Raw genomic sequence first — 27,669 nt, forward strand, 5'->3', positions numbered from 1 at the left:
TAATTACAAATCTGTCTTCTTTATTTATAGCAGCAAGTCCCCTAAGGCAGTCGTTTCCAAGGCTGCTGTTCATCAGAATCACCTGGGGAGTTTAAAAACAAAGAAACAAAAATAGATTCTTTGACCCCATCCTAGAACTGTAGAATCAACTTCTCAGCCCTGGGGAATCAGTATTTTTAAAAATAATCCCCCTAAAGCAAGTGATATGGTTTGGCTGTGTCCCCACCCAAATCTCATCTTGAATTGTAGCTCCCATGATTCCCACGACCCGGTGGGAGATAATTGAATCAAGGGGGTGAGTCTTTCCCGTGCTGTTCTCATGGTAGTGAATAAATCTCACCAGATCTGATGGGTTTTATAAAGGCAAGTTTCCCTGCACTTGCTCTTGCCTGCCACCATGTAAGATGTGACTTTGCTTCTCACTTGCCTTCTGCCATGATTGTGAGGCCTCCCCAGCCATGTGGAACTGTGACTCAATTAAACCTATTTCTTTTATAAATTACCCAGTCTCAGGTATGTCTTTATTAGCAGAGTGAGAACAGACTACTACAGCAAGTACAGTAAAATGCTAATGGTAGGATCTAGGAGTGGGTATACGGTGTTCACTGAAAAATTCTTCCGACTTTGCTGTATGTTTGAAATTTTTCTTTTTTCTTTTCTCTCTCTCTCTCTTTTTTTTTTTTTTTTTTTTTTTTTTTTGAGATGGAGTCCTGCTCTGTTGCCCAGGCTGGAGTGCAGTGGCATGATCTCAGCTCACTGCAACCTCCGCCTCCTGGGTTCAAGCGATTCTCCTGCCTCAGCGTCCTGAGTAGCTGGGATTACAGGTGCATGCCACCAAGCCTGGCTAATTTTTGTATTTTTAGTAGAGACGGGGTTTCAACATGTTGGTCAGGCTGGTCTCGAACTCCTGACCTTGTGATCCACCCACCTTGGCCTCCCAAAGTGATGGAATTACAGGTGTGAGTCACAGCACCCGGCCTAAAATTTTTCATAATAAAATGTCAAAAAGAAAATAAAAGGATACCTGAATTATTCTGCTGTGCAACTGGATTTGAGGACCTAAGGGACACTTGGTTATTTGGTGAATATCTTCTTGATGCTGTTCTCTGTTACAGCATTTGTCACATTACATTATTGCTGTTCATTCACCAAATACAAGGTTTGTGAGCTTTTAAATGCATCATCCTCTGCTAGGTGATGGGAATTTGGGAACAAAAAGGCTATTTTCTTTTAAAATACTGTGAAATACCATTTTATCCCCATCAGATTGTCAAAATTGAGAAGTCTGACTGCAGCAAAGATGAGCAAGATTGTGAAACAATGGAAACGTTTGCGCATGACTTCCTTGAGCATAGATTGGTTTAATCACTTCTGGAAAACAACTTGGGATTCTCTGGAAAGGTTGAATTCCCCTTCTAGGGGTCTCTCCAAGAGAAAACTGTTCTCCCTGGGGCTCAGGAGATGCACACCAGAATGTCCACAGCACCACTGCTTGTAGAAACATAAAACTGGATATGACCACAATGTGCATCAGCGTAGAAAACATAAACAGTAGAGAATTTCTGCAATGCAATTCTACAAAGAAGTGAAAAGCAACAAGCCACAGCCACCTTACAGCAACACAGATGAACCGCACAAACATAATCTTGGGTGAAATACCTAGGTCAGAAGCAAGTGTCATAAGAATGCATTCATGGCCAGGCACGCTGGCTCACGCCTGTAATCCCAGCACTTTGGGAGGCCGAGGTGGGTGGATCACGAGGTCAAGAGATCGAGACCATCCTGGCCAACATGGTAAAACCCCGTCTCTACTAATACAAAAATTAGCTGGGCATGGTGGCGCATGCTTGTAGTCCCAGATACTCGGGAGGCTGAGGCAGGGGAATTACTTGAACCTGGGAGATGGAGCTTGCAGTGAGCAGAGATCTGGCCACTGCACTCCAGCCTGGGCAACAGAGCGAGACTCTGTCTCAAAAACAAACAAACAAACAAACAAAAAACCAGAATGCATTCATAAATTCCATTTGTATAGAGTAATACTTATTTTAAAAAGGGAGTGAAAAACCCATTCAGGGAAGCAGTTATGTCTTGGAATGCAGGAGGTGAAGGGAGGAGAAGCTCCATTAAGTATTTATTTTATTATTGTTCTTTAAAATGTGCATACAGGTGATAACACTTTTTATCGTATGTTCTGTTTCATACATTTTTATTTTAAATATGCCATCCTAGTCCCGGATCAATGCAGAGTCCGGTGGGGAGTGAAGGAGTGAAGGAGAACATGAAACTATACTTTGAGAAAGGCGGAGGCCGCCGCACACAGAAAATACCGTGGGAGCTCAGTGGGAAGTGTGCCTGGGTCCTGACTCCTGAGACTGCATGAAGTGGGGAGGGGCTTGCTGGAGAAGAGGAGGAGGGGCTACTGACCAGGTCAAAGGGAGAGACAAGGCCGGGCGCGGTAGGAGGCCCAGGCGGCCGGATCATGAGGTCAGGAGATCGAGACCATCCTGGCTAACACGGTGAAACACCGTCTCTACTAAAAATACAAAAAATTAGCCGGGCGTGGTGGTGGGCGCCTGTAGTCCCAGCTACTCGAGAGGCTGAGGCAGGAGAATCGCTTGAACCAGGGAGGCGGAGCTTGCAGTGAGCCGAGATCACACCACTGCACTCCAGCCTGCATGACAATGTGAGACTCTGTCTCAAAACAAACAAACAAAACAAAACAAAAAACGAGACAAGGGCATTCCCCCGGGACAGGCGGTGAGAGTGGGGAGTATCCAGAACACAGCCCCTTCCTTGGCCCCAGGCCCTGGCGTCGGGAGTAACTGACTTCATGCTTACTGCATATCAACTCACCAACCTTAGTATAGTCTAGAAACCCACGCAGTCTCCTCCAAGGGAACGAGGAAAGCCCATTCCTACAGAGATTTAAGCCATACAAAGCTTAATGTTAGAAAATGTGCAAATGCAATGTTACTTTATGAGCCCCAACGTGGTTTTTTAAAAATCTGCATATTTAGGGGGAGGCGGGTGGATCAGCTAAGGTCAGGAGTTTGAGACCAGCCTGGCCAACATGGCAAAACCCTGTCTCTACCAAAAATACAAATATTAGCTGGGCGTGGTGGTGGGCGCCTGTAATCCCAACTACCCAACAGACAGAGGCAGGAGAATCGCTTGAACCCAGGAGGCAGAGGTTGCAGTGAGCCGAGATGGCGACATTGCACTCCAGCCTGGGCAACAGAGTGAGACTCCATCTCAAAAAAAAAAAAAAAAATTCTGCATATATAAGTCAACCCTTTAATGGGGTCATTTTATAATGACATTGCAGTGGTGCCTTGTGTATAAGGCAATGTTACTTATTTACTACAAATACTAGAAGGAGTTATAAATGTATATGGTAGTGAAAATCCATAAAATTGTGACCTTAACTCTCTTGTCAATTGGCACATCAATAGGAAGTTTTATGATGAAGTCACGTAAAGTGACAGACTTCTTCAGAAATATTCAGTTACAGATAGCATTGGCCAGGAGGAAGCAAAGGAGAAGGTGGCTCACACATTGCAGCTCGTTATTTGCTTATACAGGTGAACACTTCTGTTTAAGCTTTGTGATTTGAAACAGCCACCCACCCACCCTCACGGATCGTCCCATTCATTTCTGTGACCCCTTCTGACCATGCAGACATGCACGCCTTCCCAGCCCCACTTACGCAGACATACAATTCTATTTGGCTCCCCTAATCACTTCTTAACACCCTCTCTTCTAGAGTTTCTAGTGCTTTCCAACTTTTTATGTCATGGTACACATAGAAAGAATAATAATATTGCTATGCACACTGGAATAAACTGGAAGAGGTTTGAAGCACTTATCTATGGGGGGATTTAGTAGATAATTTATATCTTTTATATTATAAAGTTTTTAAAGATGCAAAGCATTAGAAAAAATATTAAATATGAAATTCATATAAAACTTCCAAATAAAAGCTTTTCAAGTCTTTGATTGAGAACCCTAAACTTCCTTCCATGAATATCAATTTTTTAATGCCTAAAATGGCAGCATGCAGTCTCTGAGTATGACTTTAATAACGAATGGATTTCTAGTTTTCCATGTACATTTGTTTCTCAGGACTTCCATAATAAAGAACCAGTCACTAGTGGCTTAAAGCAAATATATTCTCTCACAGTTCTGCAGGCAAGAAATCTGAAATCAAGGTGTTGCCAGAGTTGGTTTCTTCTGAGGGCTCCAAGGGGGGATCTATTCCAGGCTGCTCTCCTAACTTCTGGTGACCGCTGTTGATGGTTGGTGTTCCTCGGCTTGTAGATGTTCTCCAGTCTCCATCTCTGTCTTCACATGGAGCTCTCCCTGTGTGTCCCCACCTCTTCATATTAGGGCATCAATCTTCCTGGATTAGGAACCCACCTACTCCAGTGTGACCTCACCTTAACTGATTACATCTGCCACAACCCTATTTTCAAGTAAAGTCATATCCTGAAGTGCAGAGGGTTAGGACTTCAACATTTCTTTTTTGGCGGACACAAGTCAACACATAACACCGCGGAACTTTTTCAAAGCAAGCATTTCAAAATAACAGTGAGGTTCTAATTTGGTCTGACCTGCACTCACAGAGTTCTGGGGAAAGCTGCCCTGTGGCTGGAGATGCTGCCCCAGGGGCTCCAGCCATCTCACCGGCAGGACTGCCCTGACATTCATCGATGGAGTGCTCGCATCCTGCAGCTCCTGGTGGCAAGCTTCTCTTGGCCTCTGTTGCCCTACTTCTCTGACTATTCCTTCCAATCTCTCCACTGGTTCCTGTTCTTCCACCTACTCCTTCAAATTGGGTGTTTCTGGGGTCCCAGCGCTGCCTCATTTCCTTCTGCTGACTTATTGTTTACTCTTGAGGCTGGACGGTAAGCCCACTGTTACCCACGTCTCCTCCCAGCTGTCTACCCTGAGCTTCAGATCTATGGGGGATCTGACATGTCCCTGCCCCGCCTCCTCCACCTGAATTCAGGATCACGTCTTCACACCCCACACCTGCTCTTCTGACTCAATTAATGGCTCTTCCCATCACAAGATACACAGCCAGCAATTCTGCAGCACCGTTGACAGCTCCTGCTCTGTTCCCAAAGGAGTTTGTCAGGCACCATGTCCACATTCTCAGGGGTGTTTTGCAAGGCCCCTGGTAAGTTTGTTTGTTGCATTCCTCTCCAGCGTGTCTCCACACCCTGCCACTCTTCCTTAGTGAAGAAACAGAATGATGTGCAGTTTTATGACTTTCTCACTCTCCCACACCTGTTCGTTGTCCTTCCCTTCACCTACTTCCTGCATCTTCTACTTTACACGTATCCTTTAAGATGCACATGGCTCAAATGCCACTTCATCAGTGCATATGGGGGCTCATCAACTCTACATGAGAGAGTCAGAGGGACTTCACAAATGAGGCTTTCTCTTATCACATTTAAATCTCTAATGTATTAGTAGTCATTTAGGTGTGAAAGTCTAGAGAAGTGGCCGGGCGCAGTGGTTCACGACTGTAATCCCAGCACTTTGGGAGGCTGAGGCAGGCGGATTGCCTAAGGTCTGGAGTTTGAGACCCGCCTGGCCAGTATGGTGAAACCCCGACTCTACTAAAAATACAAAAATTAGCTGGGCATGGTGGCAGGCGCTTGTAATCCCAGCTACTTGGGAAGCTGAAGCAGGAGAATCACTTGGACCTGGGAGGCGGAGGTTGTAGTGAGCCGAGATCACGCCACTGCATTCCAGCCTGGGCAACAGGAGGAGACTCCATCTCAAAAAAAAAAAAAAAAAAAAGTCTACAGAAGTGGTTCTCAGAATGTGGTCCCTGGAGCAGCAGCAGCAGCAGCCTCACTTGGGAACTTGTTAGAAATGCAAATTCTCAGCACCCACCCCCGCCAAGATCTATTGAGTCAGAATCTCTGGGAGTGGGGCCCAGAAATCTGTGTGAGTTCTCCAGGTGATTCTGGTGCCTGCTCCAATTTGAGAACCACTAGTCTCCATCTGGCATAAGGAGAAAGGGGAGATGGAATTGCATTGTGAATGCAGCCACTGTAGCTAGCGGATGGGGCGTCCCTTAGCCAAGCCCTTGTCTCTCCCAGCTGCAGTCAGTCACCTGACTCACACATAGCCTGAGACAGTTTCCTTTCCCATCAGGAAGACCATCAGATGCCCTCCGAATGGGATAGAAATTGGTCTTAGTATCAGGAAGTTGGCACTGATGGCCCAGATCTTGCATTTGTTTTTCTCGTCTTACTGCTAGGTCTTTTCTCCTTTTAAATGAGTGATCTTTTGATCCACTGCCTTGCCTGACTTCTCATTCAACAGCCAATTAGCCAGCATCATGTAGCTACCTCCCCAAAATTCAAAATTCCGTGTCACCATAACTGGCTGTATTTCCTTACCCCAAACTATTCACACGTATTCAGTCCTCCTTCATTCTATTTGTCTTCCTCTAAGGACCTAGAGACAGATTCTCTAGACAGCCTGAATTCATGCTTATCCTCCAGCTTACTTTTAGAGTTTTGTCTGGCTATTCCTAGCCATAAGGAAAGTCAAATAGTTGAGTCAATGGAATAGAGAACACAGAAATAGATCCTAGTAAATACAGGAATGTAATATCCGACAAGGGAGATAATTTAATTCAGTGAGAATTAAATTCATTCACACTTTCATTTCCTTGAGCTACTTTATAACTGCAAGTCATAGAAAATGGATAGTAACACAAACGATTCTTGTCTATAAAAATGCAAAAATATTCTAGTGAAACAAAACTGATTATTTTGGTGTACAGTGACCAGTTTTGCCAGTTTTTGCATCCACTTGTAAATTCATTTCAACACTTCCTTATCAGACCATCAGTATGATACTTCAATTCACCTCTGACTCTGTTGTAACATCTTACTAGTTCCCTCATTAATTACAGTTCAATAAAATCTTTGACAGGTGTTTATTTTATATCTTTATGAGAGTCATAAATACCTTTAAAATTTTATCTTTTAACAAAACAAAAATTAAAAAATGATATAAAATAATGTATCAGCAGCATCCAAAATATTTATTAAAATTCTTATAGTATTTCCACAATATTTCTGTGAATATGGAACTTGGAAATAGGTGAATTTAGAGCTAAAGAAATGTTAATATACCAACTCAATTTTTATCAAACATGATTAAACTGAACTCTTGCTGGGAGAATATTGCTCTTTGGTCTAAAACCTACAATGATGTATGTACTATAAAAGAAGTTAGGCTGAGTATGGTGGCTCACACCTGTAATCTCAGAATTTTGGGAGGCCAAGGCAGGTGGATCACTTGAGCCCACAAGTTTGAGACCACTTGGTCTTTTGGACAGGGAGACCCCATCTCTATCCCAAAAAAAAAAAAAAAAAAAAGTAGCTGGGCATAGTGGTGCATGTCTGTAGTCCCAGCTACTTGGGAGGCTGAGTTGGGAGAATCACCTGAGCCCAGGAAGTTGAGGCTGCTGTGAGCTGAGATCACACCACTGCACTCCAGCCTGGGAGAGAGAGCAAAACCCTGTCTAAACAACAATTTTAAAAAAATTAGTTAAGAGCTTCATAATTTGGAACAAAAGAGAAAATCAAGTTCGGAAATTTAAAACAAAGAGTATACAAACTCAAAATCTTAAAGAAAATTTACATGCAATCTGGAATTAGAAAGCTGAGTTCCTACTCAGTGGAGATAATGAATGAGAATGGCAGAGAGAGTTCAAGCTATAATTCTATCCTTTCCTATTAGACTGAAAACATATAATTAGACTCTTCTCCGAACCTCAGCATTTGTTGATGCCATCTGCATCAGTTAGGATTGCTTTTGGCAGCATTGACAGAACTCTGACCGGAGTACCTAAAACAAGTAAGGGTTTCTTTTTCTCATGTCCCAAGTAGCCTGGAGATAGGTGGCCCTGGGAAGGTGCAGGGGCTCTGATGTCACAGGCACAGTCCCCTCTGTAGCTTTCCACTCTGCCAGCCTTAGCATGTGCTTTCTCATGCTTCAAAGATGACCAGCACCCAGGCATCATGGGCATGCTCTGGGAAGGAAGAATTGCAAAACGCACTTGCTCACTTTCAGTTTGATCCTTTTTATAAGAAGCCACTCACAGTGGCTGGCCTTCAGCTTACACCTCATTGGCTAGAATTGTTCACAAAGCCACACTTACCTCCAAGGGAGCCTGGGAAATTGAGTATTTAGTTGGATACATCACTATTTCTAATAAATTCTTGGTTCTGAAGCATGAAAGAAGAGGTATAGTCAAGATATGGGTTATAGGATGTTTATCTGAGTCAGGTAAAATAATAGTAATAGTAGTAGTAATAGTAATGGCAAGCACTAAAGCACTGTTGCTCTCTGGGATGAATAGCTGTCCAGAGACAATGCCATAGAAAGAGCTCTGAAAACTCCAAATCCAATCTTTGGCCTGCCACTGACCAGCTGTATGACCAGGAGTAGCATCTCTCAGCTTTTATTTCCTCATTTATTAAATGGAAATATTGGATTAGCTCTAAAACTTTATCTCAATTACCAACAACTTGGGGTAGGATTTTGGCTGTATCAGTCTCTGTAGAGTGCCACAATCATGCTTTTAAAAAATTATTAAAGTTGGAGTCAGAGGAATACATCTGGTAAAACTCTAGGTGAACAAATGAGCCAAGAGTCATAGATAGCTTTGATAGAGTTCCACAAATTACACAGATTAAAAAGAATAAGGGAGATGGCATAGAGTTAGGTGCCTTTTATGAAAAATTAAGACATTGATAAATACTATTGATAAAGACCTGTGGTAGGTAGAAGTACGGGTCCCCCAAAGACGTCCACATCCTCACCTGGGAAGGGACTTTGCCAGGGTAGTGAATAGCTAGGAACCCTGAGATGGAGAGATCATCCTAGATTTATCCCGGTGGGCCCAATGGACTCAGAATGGTCCTTAACAGTGGAGGGAGGCAGAAAAGGAGCTCAGAGTGATGGGATGTGAAAGGGACTTGACCTATTGTTGCTGGCTTTGAAGATGAAGGGGGAGACCACCGGCCAAGGAGTGCAGGCAGCCTCTAGACACTGAAGGAGGCAAGGAAATGGATTCTCCCTGGAGTCTACAGGGAGGAATGCAGCCTGCTGACACCTTGATTTTAGTTCAGTGAGCTGTGTGTTGGACTCGGAACTCCAGAACTCTAAGAGAATACATTCATGCTGCTGTAAGCCACAAGTCTATGGTCACTGTGGCGGCAGTATAGGATATTCAGGTAGATACTCTCTCTCCCTTCCTTACCCACCTGCCCTCTGTTGCCTGAGGCAACACACCAAAGCTTAGAAAGAAAACTTATTTTAAACATGTTTAAACGTAAGACCTGCCACTGTAAAACTACTAGAAGGAAACATAGGGGAAATACTTCAGGACATTAGACAAAAAATTTATGGCTAAAACCTCAAAAGCACAGTCAACAAAAGCAAAAACAGACAAATGGGACTGTGTTAAAGTAAAAAGCTTCTGTGCAGCAAAGGAAACAATCAACAGAGTAAAGAGACAATCTAGAATGGGAGAAAATATTTGCAAACTGCTCATATGACAAAGGACTAGTATCCAGAATTTACAAGGAACTCAAATGACTCAATAGTGAAAGACAAATAATCCCATTAAAAAGTGAGCAATAGATCTGAATAGACATTTCTCAAAAGAATACATACAAATGACCCACAGGTATATGAAAAATGCTCAGTATCACCCATCATCAGGGAAATGCAAACCCAAGGCACACGAGATATCGTCTTACCTCAGTTAGAATGGCTGTTATCAAAAAGACAAAAATTAGCAAATGCTGGTGGGGATGTGGAGAAATGGGAACTCTTACACACTGTTAGTGGAAATTTAAATTAGTACAGCCCTTATGGAAAACAGTATGAAAGTTTCTCAAAAAACTAAAAATAGAACTTCCATATGATCCAGCATCATATGGAATAATACCCTACTCCTGGGTATTTATCCAAAGGAAAGGACATCAGTTTATTACAAGGATACCTGCACCCCCATGTTTATTGCAGCACTATTCACAATAGTCAAGATATGGAATCAACCTAAGTGTCCATCCAGAGATGAATGGATAAAGAAAATGTGGTTCTTATACACAATGGAGTACTATTCAGTCATAAAAGAGAATGAGATCCCATCATTTGCAGCAACATTGTTGGAACTGGAGATCATCATGAGTGAAACAAGCCAGGTACAGAAAGACAAATATTGCATGTTTTCACTCATATTTGGGAGCTAAAAAAGTGGTTTTCATGGTGATAGAGTGATAGCTACCAGAAGCTGGGAATCGGGAGCAGCGGGGGATGTTGGTTGACGGATACAAACATACAATTAGATAGAAGGACTAAGACGTAGTGTTCAATAGCGTCACAGGGTGCCTACAGTTACCGACACAGTATTGTATATTTCCAAATAGCTAGAAGAGAAGAAATGCTCCCAATAAAAAGAAATGATCATTGTTTGAGGTGATAGATATTGTAATTACCCTGACTTGATCATTATACATGGTATGCATGTATCAAAATACCACATGTACTCCATAAATATGTACACTTCTTATTTATCAATTAAAAAAAGAAAAAATGTTACTAATACTCCCTAGTCTGGCGGAACTGTTTGCATCCTCCAGGAAAGACATGATAAGTAGTTGACATTTCAATGGCTGATTTTGATAACCTGAGAGCGACTGCTATTGAAGAGGATTCTGAGCCAAGTCAGGTCAAAGGGGAGAGTGGCATGACTGAGCAGTGGTGTCTACCCCGGGTGTGGTGATGGCACATGGAGCTGCTGCTTCTGTTCAAGGTTCACTGTTCATTTCCATTGCTTTGTTATTTTCCACAAAGTCCCTGTAACGTCTCCTAAAAGCACAAGCAAAGCTCTACCAGGTGTGACTCAAGGCCTGTGAATGTGAGGCGCTGTCCCAAGGGTATCTGCTGGAGCACTCAGTGCCTGTTAGTGGGCCACTCTGTCATGGCACTCAAAGGATGAGGCCTGAAGGGGTGCTGTGGGTGCTGTGCAAGTTTCCAGCTGCCCAGATCTTTCTCTCTGGGCCTGAGGACTATTTGCCTTCCCAGCAGCCAAAGTCACACTACCTTGCAGTGCCGAGGAATCAATAACCCCTTCCTACCCAGCAGCTCTCAGTGGAGTCTAATTGTGGCAGGTGGTGGACCTTCAGAAGTTGGTGCATAAACACCCCGACTAGACCCCCCAGCCTGGGTTGGCATAATTCCAAGGCTTATGTCCTGTGCAGTTGCCCAGAGTCTCCCTGCAGGATTAAGCCTCAGCCTCCCGTCAATGTCCAGAGGTATTACTCATGCACAACACATTCCGAATTCTACGTTCTTCTCCTCCTGCTTTCTAGAGGCTGTACATTTCTGAATATTTAGTACTTAAAAGGAAGAAATACACATCCATGGCAAAAAGTCAAAGAGTGCCAAAGGTACAGAAAGAAGAGTAAGTGTCCTTGTTCTATCCTTGACTTCAAATCCTCCACTAGGTGAAAGATCTCTGCAAAAAGAATTAAAAAACATCATTCAAAGGAATCAGAGATGACACAAACAAATGGAAAAACAATCTATGCTCCTGGATAGGAAGAATTAGTATAATTAAAATGGCCATACTGCCCAAAGCAATTTATAGATTCAATGTTATTCCTGTCAAATTACCAACGACATTCTTCACAGAACTAGAAACAACTATTTTAAAATTCATATGGAACTAAAAAAGACCCCAAATAGCCAAGGCAATCCTAAGCAAAAAGAACAAATCTGGAGGCATCATGTTACCTGATTTCAAACAATACTGCAGGGCTATAGTAACCAAAACAGCATGATACCGGTACAAAAATAGACACATAGACCAGTGGAACAGAATACAGAGCCCAGAAATAAGACCACATACCTATAACCTCTAATCTTCGACAAAGCTGACAAAAGCAAACAATGGGAAAGGATTCTCTCTTCAATAAACGGTGCCAGTATAGCTGGCTAGCCATATGCAGAAGATGGAAACTGACCCCTTTCTTACACCATTTACAAAAATAAACTCAAGATGGACTAAAGACTTAAATGTAAAACCCAAAACTATAAAAACCCTGAAACACAACCTAGGCAATACCATCCTGGACACAGGAACTGGCAAAGATAACATGAAGAAGATGCCAAAAGCAATTGCAAGGAAAGCAAAAATTGACAAATGGGATCTAAATAAATTAAAGAGTTTTTGTACAGCAAAACAACTATCAACAGAGTAAACAGACAACCTACAGAATGGGAGAAAATATTTTCAAACTATGCATCTGACAAAGGCCTAATATCCAGTGTCTATAAGGAAATTAAACAAATCTGTAAGAAAAAAACAAACCACCCTATTAAAAAGTGGGCAAAGGACATGAATGCTTTTCAAAAGAAGACATACATGGAGCCAAGAAGCATATGAAAAGAAGCTCAATATCACTGATTATTAGAAAATGTAAATAAAAACCACGGTGAGATATTATCTCACACCAGTCAGAATGGTTATTATTAAAAAGTCAAAAAATAACGGATGCTGGTGAAGTTATGGAGAAAAGGGAACACATACATTGCTGGTGGGAGTGTAAATTAATTCAACCATTGTGGAAATCAGTATGGAGGCTCCTCAAAGAGCTAAAATCAGAACTACCATTCGACCCAGAAATCCCATTACTGGCTATATACCCAAAGGAATAGAAATAGTTCTACTATAAAGTCACATGCAGGCATATGTTTATGCAGCACTATTCACAATAGCAAAGACATAGAATCATCCTAAATGCCCATCAGTGGTAGACTGGGTAAGGAAGATATGGCACATACACACCATGGATTACTATGAAGTCATAAAATAGAATGAGATCATGTCCTTTGCAGGAACATGGATGGAGCTGTGCAGGAAAACTAAGTACTGCATGTTCTCACTTATAAGTGGGAGCTAAATGATGAGAACACATGGACACAAAGAGAGGAACAACAATCACTGCGGCCTACTTGAGGGTGGAGGGTAGGAGGAGGGAAAAGATTAGAAAAAATAACTACTGGGGCCAGGCACAGTGGCTTACGGTTGTAATCCCAGCACTTTGGGAGGCTGAGGCAGGCAGATCACCTGAGGTCAGGAGTTCGAGATCAGCCTGCCCAACATGGTGAAATCCCGTCTCTAATAAAAATACAGAAAAATTAGCCAGGCATAGTGGTGCACGCCTGTAATCCCAGCTACTCGGGAGGCTGAGGCATGAGAATCGCTTGAACCTGGGAGGTGGAGGTTGCAGTGAGCCAAGATTGCACCACTGTACTCCAGCCTGGGCAACAGATTGAGACTCTGTCTCAAAACAAAACAAAACAGAAACAAACAAACAAACAAACAAAACTATTGGGTTCTAGACTTAGTACCAGGGTGAAAAAATAATCTATACAACAAACACCCATGACACAAGTTTACCTGTATAACAAACCTGCACATGTACCCCTGAACCTAAAATAAAAGTTAAAAACAAAAAAGAAATCCTTCATGACCTTCTCCAGAGACAGCCATCATTTTGGGACTTTATTTATCTCTTAAGATTGTTTTGTATATAATTAGATGTGTATGTGTATATGTCCCTTTCTTTATAAAAAGGTGGCATAGAAAACTAGTAATCTATCTTCGGTTTTAAACTATTTTTAAATATGCCTTTCCATATCACTATATGTTATTTCTAATTTTTTGCATGATCCTTAACTGCTGAGATTGAAGACAGGAAATACTTTTATTTTATTTTATTTTATTTTCAGATGGAGTCTCACTCTGTCACCCAGGCTGGAGTGCAGTGGCGCAATCCTGGCTCACCACAAACTGCCTCCTTGGTTCAAGCGATTCCTCTGCCTCAGCCTCCCGAGTAGCTGGGATTATGGGCGCGCACCACCAGACCCAGCTAATTTTTGTATTTTTAGTAGAGATGGGTTTTAGCCATGTTGGCCAGGCAGGTCTCGAACTCCTGACCTCAAGTGATCTGCCCATCTCAGCATCCCAAAGTGCTGGGATTACAGGCGTGAGCCACCGTGCCCAGCCGGAAATACCTTTTTTTTGAGGTCTAAGATAAACCACTTTTTATCCTCCATCCCCCGCTTTTTTTTAAAAAAATTAACTTTTTAATTTCTGAGTATTGTTTAGCACAGCCCAGTGCTATGGTCACCCAATCTGTGCTGGCTGGAACAAGTGATGTCATTTGGTAGGCACAATGCTTACGCAAGATTGTCCTGATGATGGTAGTGGCAGTACTTCAGTTTTTCCTCAGGGAACAAACCCTTCACACACATTTGTTTACTCTGCCCAGGTCTTTACAGGTCAGGAGTTATTATGTCGTAGGAACTCCAGCTAGACATCTCACAGTCGGAGCTGCTCCTTGCTTTATCAAGGCAAATGTTTTAGTAGGGAAAGAGCATCCTTTAAAAATGAGCACCAACCACAGATAATACTTGAGTTGGTCTTCAGAAAAGCCCGTCTCCAAGCATTTCTCCACTTTCAGCTGGAGAAAAGGAGGCGGTCGGTTGTTTAAATGGGCAGGGGCAATGCAGAACCTCAGAAGTCCCTATTGCTGGGTTTACGAACCCGTCATTCCCAGGGCCCCTCTTTTTGGTGGTTTCCTCTCAGCGGTACTTTAAATGTGCTTTCATCCTACAATCAACTGATGCTTTTACAATGTCTATGCTAAAGGCACAAGAAACCAAATTCCCTGTAGAAAAGCAGATGTCAGGAGACTGTATCTGCTGGAATACAGAAGACCCTAACATTTCACACTCTAATTTGAGTTCCAAATTGTTCTAGATGCCTGTTTGCAGCAATATTCCTTTGAATTAATTGTTTCAGAGAGTGGAGTATGTTCACATTTTTTTTTTTTTTTGCCTCAAGAGAATGCGAACCATGATGGACAACTTGTATGATAGAGATAATTAACCAGTGTCAGGCCAAAACTGGAGGATTAGTGTCGGCCAAGCTCCTGGCTTCTTCTCCTAAATATTTGATCCTGGCTGGGTGCGGTGGTTCACACCTGTAATCCCAGCACTTTGGGAGGCCAAGGTGGGCGGGTCACAAGGTCAGGAGTTCGAGACCAGCCTGACCAACGTGGTGAAACCCCTCTCTACTAAAAATACAAAAATTATCTGGGCATGGTGGCTGTAGCTGTAATCCTAGCTATTCAGGAGGCTGAGGCAGGAGAATAGCTTGAATCGTGAGGCAGAGGTTGCAGTGAGCCGAGATTGCGCCATTGCACTCCAGCCTGGGTGACAGAGCAAGACTCTGTCTCAAAAAAAAAAAAAAAAAAAAAAATTGATACTGCATTTGGTGTGATTATCTCTTGAATATCATTTTATAGTTGTCTAGTTTTCAAAAAGGAGTACAGGGAAAATGATTTTTTATTTTTTCTTAGCAGTGGGCTTTCCATGGAAACAAAGAGCCTACAGAGATTCTTTGCATAATTTAGAAGAAAAAATGAGGACCCTGAAAAGTTAGCACTTAACTTTTAAAGAGTTCAGGTTTTCTCAAGACAAAATTTAAAATGCTGTGACTTATATAACAGGTCATTACTGTACTTTCTCAGAAGGTTGGGAATTTGGTTGGTCCAAATTCATTCTGAATACACAGCAGGTTCCATAAAATAAAGCCTTTTATGAACTGCAACGGTCTATTAAATGGAGGCTATTTTAGGGAGGTGGATTTTTTTTTCTCCATTGGAGGAAAAGTCTCTGAAAATAATTTCATGGTCTAAATCCATGCCCTAACTGGTCCAATTTTGTCTTCGTGACCAGGGTCTGCGGGGCAACAAGCTTTTATGATATGCTTCATTATACAATTGCCAGCTATTTCAGGAAATTCCTTCCCGACTTCAGATAACAGTTACTTTGTGCCCCAAAGCACTGGGATGACCCCCTTATAATTGTATTCAAGCTCGGGTGGTTCAGGCACTGCCTTTACTCTTACACCATGGAGATTCATTAAACCTACTTTCTCACTGAGCCCTTGGCCACATGGAATGTTCATTTGGAAGTTTCAGTCAAAGGCCCATAGAGCTCTGCTACCCCGCACAAAGTTGTCCTGTATTTGGTCAACTGACTGTTGAATAATTGGCACTGCTCTGATGCCAATGTGAAAGAATCAGGAAAGGCAGAGTACAGTGCCTGATAGGAGGGACATGTTGATCTTGCATCAACGCCACTGTGTATGGAACGGGGGTCTGTATGTGTTTGTGGAAGGGCAGGGATAGTCCTGCCAGTACAGGGTAGTGGTTCGGAACTGAGACTGCAGCCAAATATATTCTGCTGTGCACTGGAGTGCAGCCTTGGAAAAGCTAGCTACCTTTGCTTTTTAGTTGTAAATTCCTAACAACTATACCCACCTCAGAGGGTTGTTATGAGTTGGAAAATGAAATAAGACATGCAAGGGCCTATGCACAGAGCAAGCACTAAATAAGTGGGAATTAATTTTGAACGATTTGTCCCTATGGCAGATGCTATGGGTGCCCATATGTTACCCCTTCCTACCACTTCAGAAATCACAGGCCTGACTTCCAGCTGCTGGCATCTGCCCTTCTTTGCCCAAGGGCTTTCTGTGGCTCTCACACAACAGGTTGGAAGAGCTAGGGAATTAACAACTCTGGAGGCCACCTTCAAACAAGAATCCACTGATGTATAAATACCCCAGCTCCCCTGCCACTTGACTGGAGTAACTGACTCTCGGGCTTTACCCTGGCTCCATGAGTTCCCCAGTGGAACCGAGCTCCAGTTTTCCACAGGGGTGGCTTTTGTGATAATGCAGCTTTAGCAACTGTCTTCCCTTCCGCTTCTCTCTTCTCCACTTCCCTGCTGCATTTTTCCACTCGCCACTTCTCAGGAAGCTACTTGCACTCAAGTCCTTCCTCAGGGCCACTTCTGGGGAAACCCACATTAAGACAATCACCTAGAACATGAGGAAGAATTTCCATTATGAATGTTGGACTCAGTCATGGACATTTACATGAATCCTATTCCCAAAACTTCTACAAGGAAGCTTCTTGCAAGCAAGATATGAGGCCTTGTCATCAACTGAGTCATAAAGGGTTTTTACTTAATGAGTACACTGGATCCAACACCAACTGTCCGGGTGCTGCGGCAATAAACATATTAAACATCTTTCCTATAGGTTGGTTTCTTCTGCAGCAGTGATTTCTGATGTTCTATTTGCCATATTTTTTCACCTTTCAACAGAGAATTCTGTTGTCCTGTCTTAGAATGTTGTGCAAAAACAACAAAACTCTCTCTTTAAACATAATCTTTTTTTGAGGCAAAAAAAGGAACAAGAATATCTATAAACGTTGGAGATTCAATCTCTGGATTTTTAGGTTTTTTAAGATATGGTCTTACTCTGTTGCCCAGGCTGCAGTGCAGTGCCATGATCATGGCTCACTGTAGCCTTGACCTCCCCAGGCTCAGGTGATCCTCCCACCTCTCAGCCTCCCGAGTAGCTGGACCACAGATGCACCACCACACCTGGCTAATTTTTTGTATTTTTTGTAGAGACAGGGTTTCACCATGTTTCCCAGCCTGGTCTCGAACTCCTGGGCTCAAGCGATCTGCCCACCTTGGCCTCCCAAGTGCTGGGATTACAGTCATGGGCCACCACACCTGCCTGTGGATATTGTTTTAAACTGAATGCCTCCTACTTACTTTTTTGTTTTTTTGTTTGTTTGTTTGTTTTTGAGATGGGGCCTCATTCTGTTGCCTAGGCTAGAATGCAGTGGCGCAATCATAGCTCACTGCAGCCTTGAACTCCTGGGTTCAAGTGAGCCTCCTGCCTCAGCCTCCTGAGTAGCTGGGACTACAGGTGCCCACCATCCCAGCTAATTAAAAAAATTTTTTTTATAGACAGGGACTCACTATGTTGCTCAAGCTGGTCTCACACTCCTGGCATCAAGTGATCCTCCTGCCTCAGCCTCCTAAAGTGCTGGGATTACAGGCATGAGCTATCACATCTGGTCTCCTATTTATTTTTGAAAAAAGGAAAGATTTGGTGAAAGTTTTGAGGCTGGCAATTATTTATTTGATGAACACTTGTTGCTACTGGGTAGAAAGCATGTGGGCCTATCCCTTGGCAATAAAAAGATCAATAAGACCTCCTCTCTCTATATGATTGAGGAAATAGCCATGTGAAACACTAAATATGGTTGTGAATTATTTAAATATATTTACAAAGCTTGTCTTGCCTTTTTGAAATTCTATAGTATTTACTTTGCAATATCCTGATTAAATTTTCATAATATATAGATTGCTTACTGTAATGTTTTAAAACATTTCTTTTTATTTAAAAAGAGTTCAGGCCAGGCATGGTGTCTCACGCCTGTAATCTCAACACTTTGGGTGGCTGAGGTGGGCGGATCATTTGAGGTCAGGCACTCCAGACCAGCCTGGCCAACACTGTGAAACCCCATCTCTACTAAAAATATGAAAGTTAGCCAGGCATGGTGGTGCACACCTGTAATCCCAGCTACTTGGGAGGCTGAGGCAGGAGAATTGCTTGAACCCGGGAGGCAGAGGTTGCAGTGAGCCAAGATTGCACCACTGCACTCCAGCCTCGGTGACAGAGTGAGACTCCATCTCAGAAAAAATAAAGTAAATACAATAAAAAATAAATAAAAAGAGTTCATATTGTGTTATGGTAAAGGGTAGAATAAAACAGCATTTCATTTGCCATTTCTAGTTGATTTCTTCTTTGTAATGGAGGTACATCTAAGGAAAGAGACTCACTGAAATTTTTACATGGGTGTTGCTCAAGTTTTTTTAATTTTTTTTTTGAGAGGGAGTCTCACTCTGTCACCAAGGCTAGAGTGCAGTGGCGCAGTCTCAGCTCACTACAACCTCCACCTCCTGGGTTCAAGTGATTATCCTGCCTCAGCCTCCCAAGTAGCTGGGATTATAGGTGCCTGCCACCACGTCGGGCTAATTTTTGTAGTTTAGTAGAGATAGGGTTTCACCATGTTGCCCAGGCTGGTCTCGACCTCTTGACCTCAAGCAATCTGCCCGCCTTGGCCTCCCAAAGTGCTGGGATTACAGGCGTGAGCCACTGCGCCAGCTGCTCTAGTTTTTTTAGTTCAACTTGGGAAGTTAAATCAGATGAATCTACAATAGCCAAACACTTTGTCAAGGAGCATGTACAGGCACATGCTGTTTAAGCTTGTGTAATAACTGAGAGATAGGAGCAAAAAAACCATGCAGTACTTCTGTTTGGGGAGATATTTTTTGGTTAATAATTCCAAAGCCTTTGGAAATGGACATGATAGAGACACATGCCCACACATATTCACCCATCACTCCAACAATTAGTTACTGAATACCTATTACACATGTGCCTGGCACAGAGCTGGGTGGTGTGGGTATCAGTGATCAAAAAACAGGGGGCTAGGGTTCAGTGGAAAGCAAACAGATGTTGTTTGATTACACAAAGAATGTATGATTATACAGTGAAGAATGGGTGTAATTATAAAGTGAGATCACGTACTCTGAGAGATAGTAGTGGAATTTCATGGAATCACCTACTGGTGGAATGGAACCGAGGCTGAGGAAGGGGTGTTTGAGCTGAGATGTGAGGATGAGTGGAGTTATTTAAGACAAATGGGTTGGGCTGGATTTGGGAGGCTGATGAGAAAACGGTTCCAGGTGGAGGGAATAGCAGGTGCACACAATATGCCTGAGGATGCGAAGGGCTGCTGGGCGCAGAGAGAGCAGGGGAGAGCCAGCCAGACGAGGCTGGAGAGAGAGGCAGAGGCCATGCCTATGAACGCCATACAGCCATGTACACAGGTAGGTCTTTCTCCTATGAGTCTCAGGGAGCCAACAAGGGCTCTCCATGGCTGGGAAATGTGATCACATTTGTGTTTTGAAACAAACAAATAGCTCAGATCGGCATCTGGCATCTAGAGGAGCAGAGAGGGTAAGCGGTGGAATGGAATAATGAGTCGGCTATTGCAGATGTCCAAGGGAGAGGTGGCAGTTCCTTGGACCAGTGTGGGGTGATGGGGAGAGATAGTGACTGCATTCAAGAGGCTCACAGGATGTAAATTTGACAGGACCTGGGGGTGTTATGGCTGTGAAAAGTGAGGGAGAGGAAGATGCCGGGATGAATCCTAGTTTTCTGACTCTTGACTCTGCATGGAGGATGGTGTCATTCACCAAGAGTTGGGGGAAGATCATGTTTGATCTTCAACATAATTATTTTGAAGTGCCTTTGAGTTATCCAAATGGAGATGTTGAGTAGGCACGAGAATATGGATCTGGAAACCAAGATGCGCCCTTTTATTATTATATAACTTATTTTTTTGAAGTTCTTAAAAATTAGGTGAAATAGGCAGGGTTTCTGTTTGCATGTGGTTGGGTGGATTTCTCATTTATTTATGATGTTCACTTTAGCGCATAAAAATCAGTTGAAAATAGGCCGGGCATGGTGGCTTACACCTTTAATCCCAGGACTTTGGGAGACCGAAGTGGGCAGATCATCTGAGGTCAAGAGTTCGAGACCAGCCTGGCCAACATTGTGAAACTCTGTCTCTCCCAAAAATACAAAAATTAGCTGGGTGTGGTGGTGGGCACCTGTAATCCCAGCTACTTGGGAGGCTGAGGCAGGAGAATCGCTTGAACCCAGGAGACAGAGCTTGCAGTGAGCTGAGATCGCGCCACTGTACTCCAGCCTGGGCAACAGAATGAGACTCCGTCTCAAAACAAACAAACAAACAAACAAAAATCCAAAAACCCACATACAAACAAACACAAATCCATGCCTTTATAATGCCTGAGCATGGGAATGACTCCCGAGTCCCTGTTCGGCTCAGGCCTCTCTTCAGAGATTCAGACACACATGCCCACATTCACCTATTCCTCGGCTTCCTCCAACTCTGGATATCTAAAATCAAACTCCTTATCCTTTTGTTCTAGACATGCTCCACTGGATTCTCTGTCTGCCCATACGTGTATCCCGCCAGTTGCCCAATCCAGAGACCATGGAATGATATGTAATTTCGCCCTCTCCCTCACTCCTAAATCCCAGCAGTACCCAGTCTCTTACTGCTTCTGAAATAGTTCTCATGTTTGTCCCATCATCTAGGTCCCACATGCCCTGCCTAATGAAGTTGGCCCTCACTGTTTCCCACCTGGACTGCTCTAAGAACCACCTTATGCATTGAAGCCCAGGTCTATACTGTCTCCTTTAAATCCCTCCTCTATGGAGTTGCTCAACAGCCGTTCTAAAATGCGTGTCCGGCCATATGACTCTTTAATGACCCCAAGCTCCTTAGCATGCCATTCAGAGCTCCCGTAATTGTTTTCTGACTACCTGTCTAGTTCTTCTCCTCCTCACTGCACTTTCTTTCATACACAGCAAGTATGTGTATGTAGTTACCATTCCCCAAGCCTGGACGGTCCTTTCTGGGACTCCTCCCCCATCCAACTCCCACTTATCCTATAACTTAACTTAGTTAAGATAATCAGACTTAACTAAGTCCAATTGATTTAGTTTAAAAAAGGTTTCTTCCACGAAACCTTTCCTCATCCTCCACCTTCTTCCGCAGGGGTAAGCAGGTGGTTTCCAAAGCATCGTCCTTTTTACACGCTACCTTTGAATACCTTCCTTAACATTGGAATTGCCAGTCTTCCTTACACTCCGAAAGGAGGAACTAGGCTGGGTGCAGCGGCTCACGCCTATAATCCCAGCATTCTGGGAGGCCAAGTTGGGAGGGTTGCTTGAACCCAGGAGTTTGAGACCAGCCCTGGCAACAGTGAGAACCTAACTTCACACACACACACACACACAAAAAGCTGGTCATGGTGGCACGTGCCTGTAGTCCCAGCTACTTGGGAGGCTGAGGTGGGAGGATCTCCTGGGAGGTCAAGGCTGCAGTGGGCTGTGATCGAACCACTGCACTCTAGCCTGGGCAACAGAGCCAGACCCTCTCTCTCTCTCAAAAAAAAAAAAAAAAAAAAAAGAATGTAGGAACTGGGATTTAGTTGTGTGATCCTCAGTGCCAATACCTGGCACAAAGAAGGCAACCATTAATACGTGTTAGGCTGTGCGCTGAATGTGTACTATTTGGAAATACTTTTCTGTTGGGGACATTTCAAGAACATAGTGCATAATTTTTATTTTCCTTTACATATGGCTTTCTGTGGAGATAGGCTATTATCTGCAGGAAAAAAGTGAGATGTGAGATGTGAGACCCGCTATGAAAATGCTTTGGTATTTATAAGTCAATTCAATATGCTGGAAAACTCTTTAAAGGAAATCATCTTTTACAAACATCTCAAATGTAATCACAGCAAAACATATCCTAAGCAAGGCGATCACTGATGATTTTAAATTCTAAAAGCTTGGACCCATGGATGGGCTAACATTGTGTTGAATGGGGTGTCTCTGTCTTGACAATGATACGTACACAATGGATTCTATCACCTAGTTCTTTCCTGTCTTCCCTTATTTTCCTACAACAAAGGATGGAAAATAGTCACAACTCAGAACATGTGTATATTTGGAATAGTTCATTCTTTCTGTTTTTTTTTTGTTTTTCTACTATGAAAGAATGTGCTTTGATCTTCATTGAACCACATGCAGGTCCTTTGAATGCAGCACCTAATGGAGAGGATAAATAAGCCCTGGCTGCTGTAACCGAAGCTGTGTGTCCTGAAAGCCGCTGGTCTTCCTGGCCGTCTGTCAGCCTGCCTGCCCACGTGTGTGAGGGTCTCCACTGTGAATGCCAGTGTTTTGTGGAAGTGCCTTAGAGGTTTTGTTTTCGTATCTAAACACTCGCTTCTCAGTGTTCTTGCCAACTGCTGTAGAATTCTTTCATCACTTAGTGAGGGCAATTTTTTTTTTTTGTTTCTTTTTCAGCTTTTCCTGCTAAAGCTCTTAAACAGTTAAGGAAGACCTCCCACAGACCAGAAAGGATGATTTTTGTCTCTTGATTGATTTAGTTAAAAATTCCCCCAATTTCCCGTTGATTTGGGTAAACACTGGAGGTGTAGTGGATGCTACAGCGTGGGGCCCAGGTCCCTATTTGAGGCCGGGCACTGCTGCTCCAGGCTGCCAGGAGTGTTGGCTGATGGGAGCTCAGCTGAGGCCCTCCTGGAGAACTGCCCTCAGCTGCTGAAGCCGCCTGACATAGGCACGCCTTCTCCAGGACCCGCTGTAAGTGGGAATTTGGGGCTGTTCTGATGGGCCATCACCACTCCAGGACTCCCCACAGTCCCCTTTCTCCCTCTGCCTTGTTTCTTTGGGTACTGCTGCTGTGAGCACTCCCCAGACACCCTCACCCATGTGCTCAAACACCCAGCGGCTTCCCAGGAAATCCAACCTGAGACATAGGAATTTGACGATGAATAAATCCAGGGGAAAGACTGGTGTGTTAGTCAGGGCTCTTCAGAGAAACAGAACCAACAAGACCAATAGGATGGATATGTATGAAATAAGGACTGGTTCCCACAATGATGGAGGCTGAGAAGTTTCACAGTCTGCAGTTGGCAAGCTGGAGACCCTGGGGGGCCAGTGTGTAGTTCCAGGCGGGGTCTGAAGGCCCAAAAACCAGGACAGCCAATGGTGTAAGTTCCAGCCTGATCCCTAGTCCAAGTGCAGGAGAAAATCAGTGTTCGGGCAGAGTCAGGCAGAGACAGCAAATTTCCCCTTACTCTGCCTTTTGTTTCAAGCAGGTTTCCAACACACTGGATAAAGCTCACGTAGGGAGGGCAGTTTGCTTTACTCAGTTTATTGATACAAATGTTGTTTCATCCAGAAACAGCCTCACAGATACACCCAGAATAATGTCTAATCAAATATCCGAGCACCTGCTGGAGCAGTCAAATTGACCTGTAATTCCAACCATTACAACTGGTCTTTTCAATAAACAGTACCAGAACACGTGGACATCTGAAGAACTTGGACCTGCTGTTACACCATCCACAAAAATAAAACACAAACGAATCATAGTCCTCAACATACGGGCCAGGAGTATAAAACTCATTCAAAGAAGACAGGAGTTTTTGACTTTGAGTGAGAAGATATTTTCTTAAAAATGACACCAAAAGCATAAGCAAGAGAAGAAAAAAGAGTTAAATTGGATTTCATTAAAATTAAAACATTTGTTCATCAAAGGGTACCACCAGTAAAGGGAGAAAGACAACTCAAAGAGCGGGAGAAGATATTTGCAAATCATATTTCTGACAAGGGATTTAAATCTAGAATATCTAGAAAACACAATTTAGTAATAAAAAGACAACCTACTGAAAAAGGATTTCAATAGGCATTTCTTCAGAGAAGATAGACAAATGGTCAATAAGCACATGTAAAGATGCTCAACATTGAGGCTGGGCATGGTGGCTCACGCCTGTAATCCCAGCACTTTGGGAGGCTGAGATGGGCAGATCATGAGGTCAGGAGATCGAGACCATCCTGGCTAACACGGTGAAACCCCGTCTCTATTAAAAATACAAAAAATTAGCCAGGTGTGATGGCAGGTGCCTGTAGTCCCAGCTACTTGGGAGGCTGAGGCAGGAGAATGGTGTGAACCCAGCAGGTGGAGCTTGCAGTGAGCCGAGATTGCACCACTGCACTCCAGCCTGGGCGATAGAGCGAGACTCTGTCTCAAAAAAAAAAAAAAAAAAAAAAAAAAAAAAAAAAAAAAAAAGATGCCCAACATTATTAGTCTTTAGGGAAATGCAAATCAAACTTCAGTGAGATCCCACTTCACACCCACTAAGATGGCTGTCATCAAAAGACTGTAATAACAAGTGTTGGTGAGCACGTGGAGAAACAGCAATCCTCACACAGTCATTGCTGGTGGGATCTGAAAGTGGGTGCAGACAATTTGGAAAGCAGCTTCACAGTTACTCAAAATACTAGATATAGAGTTACCCTATGACCAGCAATTTCACTTTTAGGTATAAACCTAAGGGAAATAAAAAACATATGACCACACATGCGCACAAACAAAAAACTAAAAAAGTTGTCCCTGAATGCTCACAGCATTGTTCATAATGAACAGCATTGTTCATAATAGCCAAAAAGTGGAAAAACCCCAAATGCCCAAATGCTCATCAGCTGATCGATGGATAAACAAGCTGTGGTATGTCCATGGAATGGAATGTTATTCAGCCATGCAAAGCAATGGAGTCCTGCCACATGTGACAGCATAGATGAGCCTTGAAAACATTTTGCTAACTAAGAGAAGCTAGACAGCAAAGGCCACATATTGTATAATTCTGTTTACACTCATGTGGTGCATAACAACCAGTCAACGATGAACTGCATATAGATAATGGTCTCATAAGATTATAATGGAACAGCTGGGTGTGGTGGCTCATGCCTATAATCCCAGCACTTTGGGAGGCCAAAGCGAGTGGATAGCTTGAGGTCAGGAGTTTGAGACCAGCATGGACAACATGGTGAAATCCTGTCTCTACTAAAAATATAAAAATTAGCTGGGTGTGGTGGCATGCGCCTGTAGTGCCAGCTACTTGGGAGGCTGAGGCAGGAGAATCACTTGAACCTGGGAGGCTGAGGCAGGAGAATCACTTGAACCTGGCAGGCGGAGGTTGAAGTGAGCTGAGTTCATGCCACTGCACTCCAGCCTGGGTGACAGAGCCAGATTCAGTTTCAAAAAAAAAGATTATAATGGAACTGAAAATTCCTATTGCCTAGTAATGTCGGAGCCGTGATAATGTCATAGCACAACAAAGTACTCACAAGTTTGTGGTGATGCTGGGATAAACAAGCCTAGTGTGCTGGCAGTCATATAAAAGTCTAGCACATACAATTATGTATAGTATATAATACTTGCTAATGATAAGAAATGACTATGTTACGGTTTATGTATGTAATACACTATACTTTTATTGTTATTTTAGAGTATACTCTACTTATTATAAAAATTTAACTGTAAGACAGTCTCAGGCAGGTCCCTCGGAAGAAGGTATTGCTATCACAGGAGATGACAGCTCCGTGTGTGTTATTGCCCTGAAGACCTTCTAGTGGGACAAGGTGTGGTGGTGGAAGATGGTGATATTGAGGATCCTGACCCTGTGTAGGCATAGGCTAATGTCTGTGTTTGTGTCTTATTTTTTAACAAAAATGTTTAAAAAGTAAAAAGAAAAAAACTGAAAACAAAGAAAGGCTTGTATAATAAGGATATAAAGAAAGAATATTTTTGTGTAGCTGTACAATGTGTTTGTGTTTTAAGCTGACCGTTATTACAAAGGAGTCCAAAAGTTGACAAAAATTGAGAAGGTTATAAAGTAAAAAGGTTACAGTAAGTTAAGGTTAATTTATTATTTCAGAAAGAAAAACTTTTTCTATAGAGAGTAGCCTAGGTGTACAGTGTTCATGAAGTCTACAGTGGTGCAGAGTCATGCCTTAGGCCTTCCCATTCACTCTCCACCCACTCACTGGCTCACCCAAAGCAACTTCTAGTCCTGCAAGCTTTATTCATGGTAAGTGTCCTACACAGGTGTACTATTTTTTATCTTTTATACCATTTTCTTATCATACCTTTTCTGTATTTGGTAAGTTTAGATACACAAGTACTTACCACTGTGTTACAGTTTCTTACAGTGTTGAGTAGAGTTGCATGCTGTACAGGTTTGTAGCCGAGGAGCAATAGGTTCTGTCATACAGCCTAGGTCTGCAGTAGGTTGTCCCATTTAGGTTTGTGTAAGGACACTCTTTGATGTGTACACATGAAGAAAATTGCCTAATGACACATTTCTCCAAATGTGTGTCTGTCATTAAGCAACAGATGACTGATGTGAAATGTCAGAATAGGCCAATCCATAGAGAGATTGTCTGGGGATGGAGTAGGAGATGGGTAAGCAGGAATCAGGAAGACTGCTGTAGCACAGGGTTTCTCCCCCACTTCCCACCACTTTTTTCAATAGAGACAGGGTCTTGCTCTGTTGCCCAGGCTGAAGTGTAGTGGCATGATCATGGCTCACTGCAGCCTCTAACTCCTGGGATCCTCCCACCTCAGCCTCCCAGGTGAGTGCCACCACACCCAGCTAATCAAAAAAATTTTTCTAGAGGCAGGGTCTCACTATGTTGCCCAGGCCTGCAGAGAGTTTCTTTGGGGGGCATTGAAAATGTTCTAAAATTAGATTGTGGTGATGTAATTCAGTGTGTCTTTGAATGAGTTTAAGTGTCATGTCAAGTACAATTGTCTTATTCAGCTTAGATTTTTGGAATGTTTGAAGACAAACATTGCCGTGGAGATCACCTGGTAGCTTTCTGAGCAGGAGGCTGTGGACTGAGGGGAGCCATCCACTCTGCCGAGAGCTTGAGAAAATGAAGACTGAAAACAGAGCACTGGAGGTCGTTCATACGCAAAAATGCTTTCCCCTCGGAATTGTCTCCAGCTCCTTCACCTCTTGGTTGTAGGTACAGACAGCAGAGACAAGAAGAGCCTTGAAGAGGCAGCCACACATTGTGGTGAGGAGCACACAGCCTCTTGCTAGGATAGGAATATGCTACCTATGCTTTGGTTCCCAATATCCTTGCCAATAAAACCTTTGTCTCTGATCCTCTTAGCTGTAACAGCATGCTGGACTAATAGGTTCAGGGAGTAGTCT

The 27,669-nt window shown here is 43.1% G+C and overlaps 1 long non-coding RNA gene across 4 annotated transcripts, besides 1 other annotated feature; it reads right to left on the reverse strand.

Annotated features, from left to right (window-relative positions):
* Positions 1-27,257, reverse strand: LOC105376157 (uncharacterized). 4 transcript variants are annotated; one of them, XR_930139.3, is made up of 5 exons: positions 27,139-27,257; positions 26,637-26,890; positions 16,788-16,999; positions 2,858-2,915; positions 1-82 (listed from the first exon to the last, which is right to left on the reverse strand). It is a non-coding gene; the product is annotated as an uncharacterized LOC105376157 (long non-coding RNA). The 4 variants fall into 4 exon arrangements; XR_930138.3 differs by lacking the exon at positions 27,139-27,257 and having other exon boundaries at positions 26,637-27,042; XR_930141.3 differs by lacking the exons at positions 16,788-16,999; positions 27,139-27,257 and having other exon boundaries at positions 26,637-27,042.
* Positions 24,158-24,327: an enhancer, noted in NCBI's record as "experimental_110687 CRE fragment used in MPRA reporter constructs". NCBI's record gives its function as "activates a minimal promoter by MPRAs in K562 erythroleukemia cells, with activity observed for both the introgressed and non-introgressed 9:98309740 variant alleles {active_cell/tissue: K562}" and the evidence as "EXISTENCE:reporter gene assay evidence [ECO:0000049][PMID:34662402]".
* Positions 27,258-27,669: the final 412 nt, after the last annotated feature.

The sequence above is a fragment of the Homo sapiens genome, chromosome 9 (genome assembly GCF_000001405.40).
Source record: "Homo sapiens chromosome 9, GRCh38.p14 Primary Assembly".
In the NCBI taxonomy this organism is placed as follows: Eukaryota; Metazoa; Chordata; class Mammalia; order Primates; family Hominidae; genus Homo; species Homo sapiens.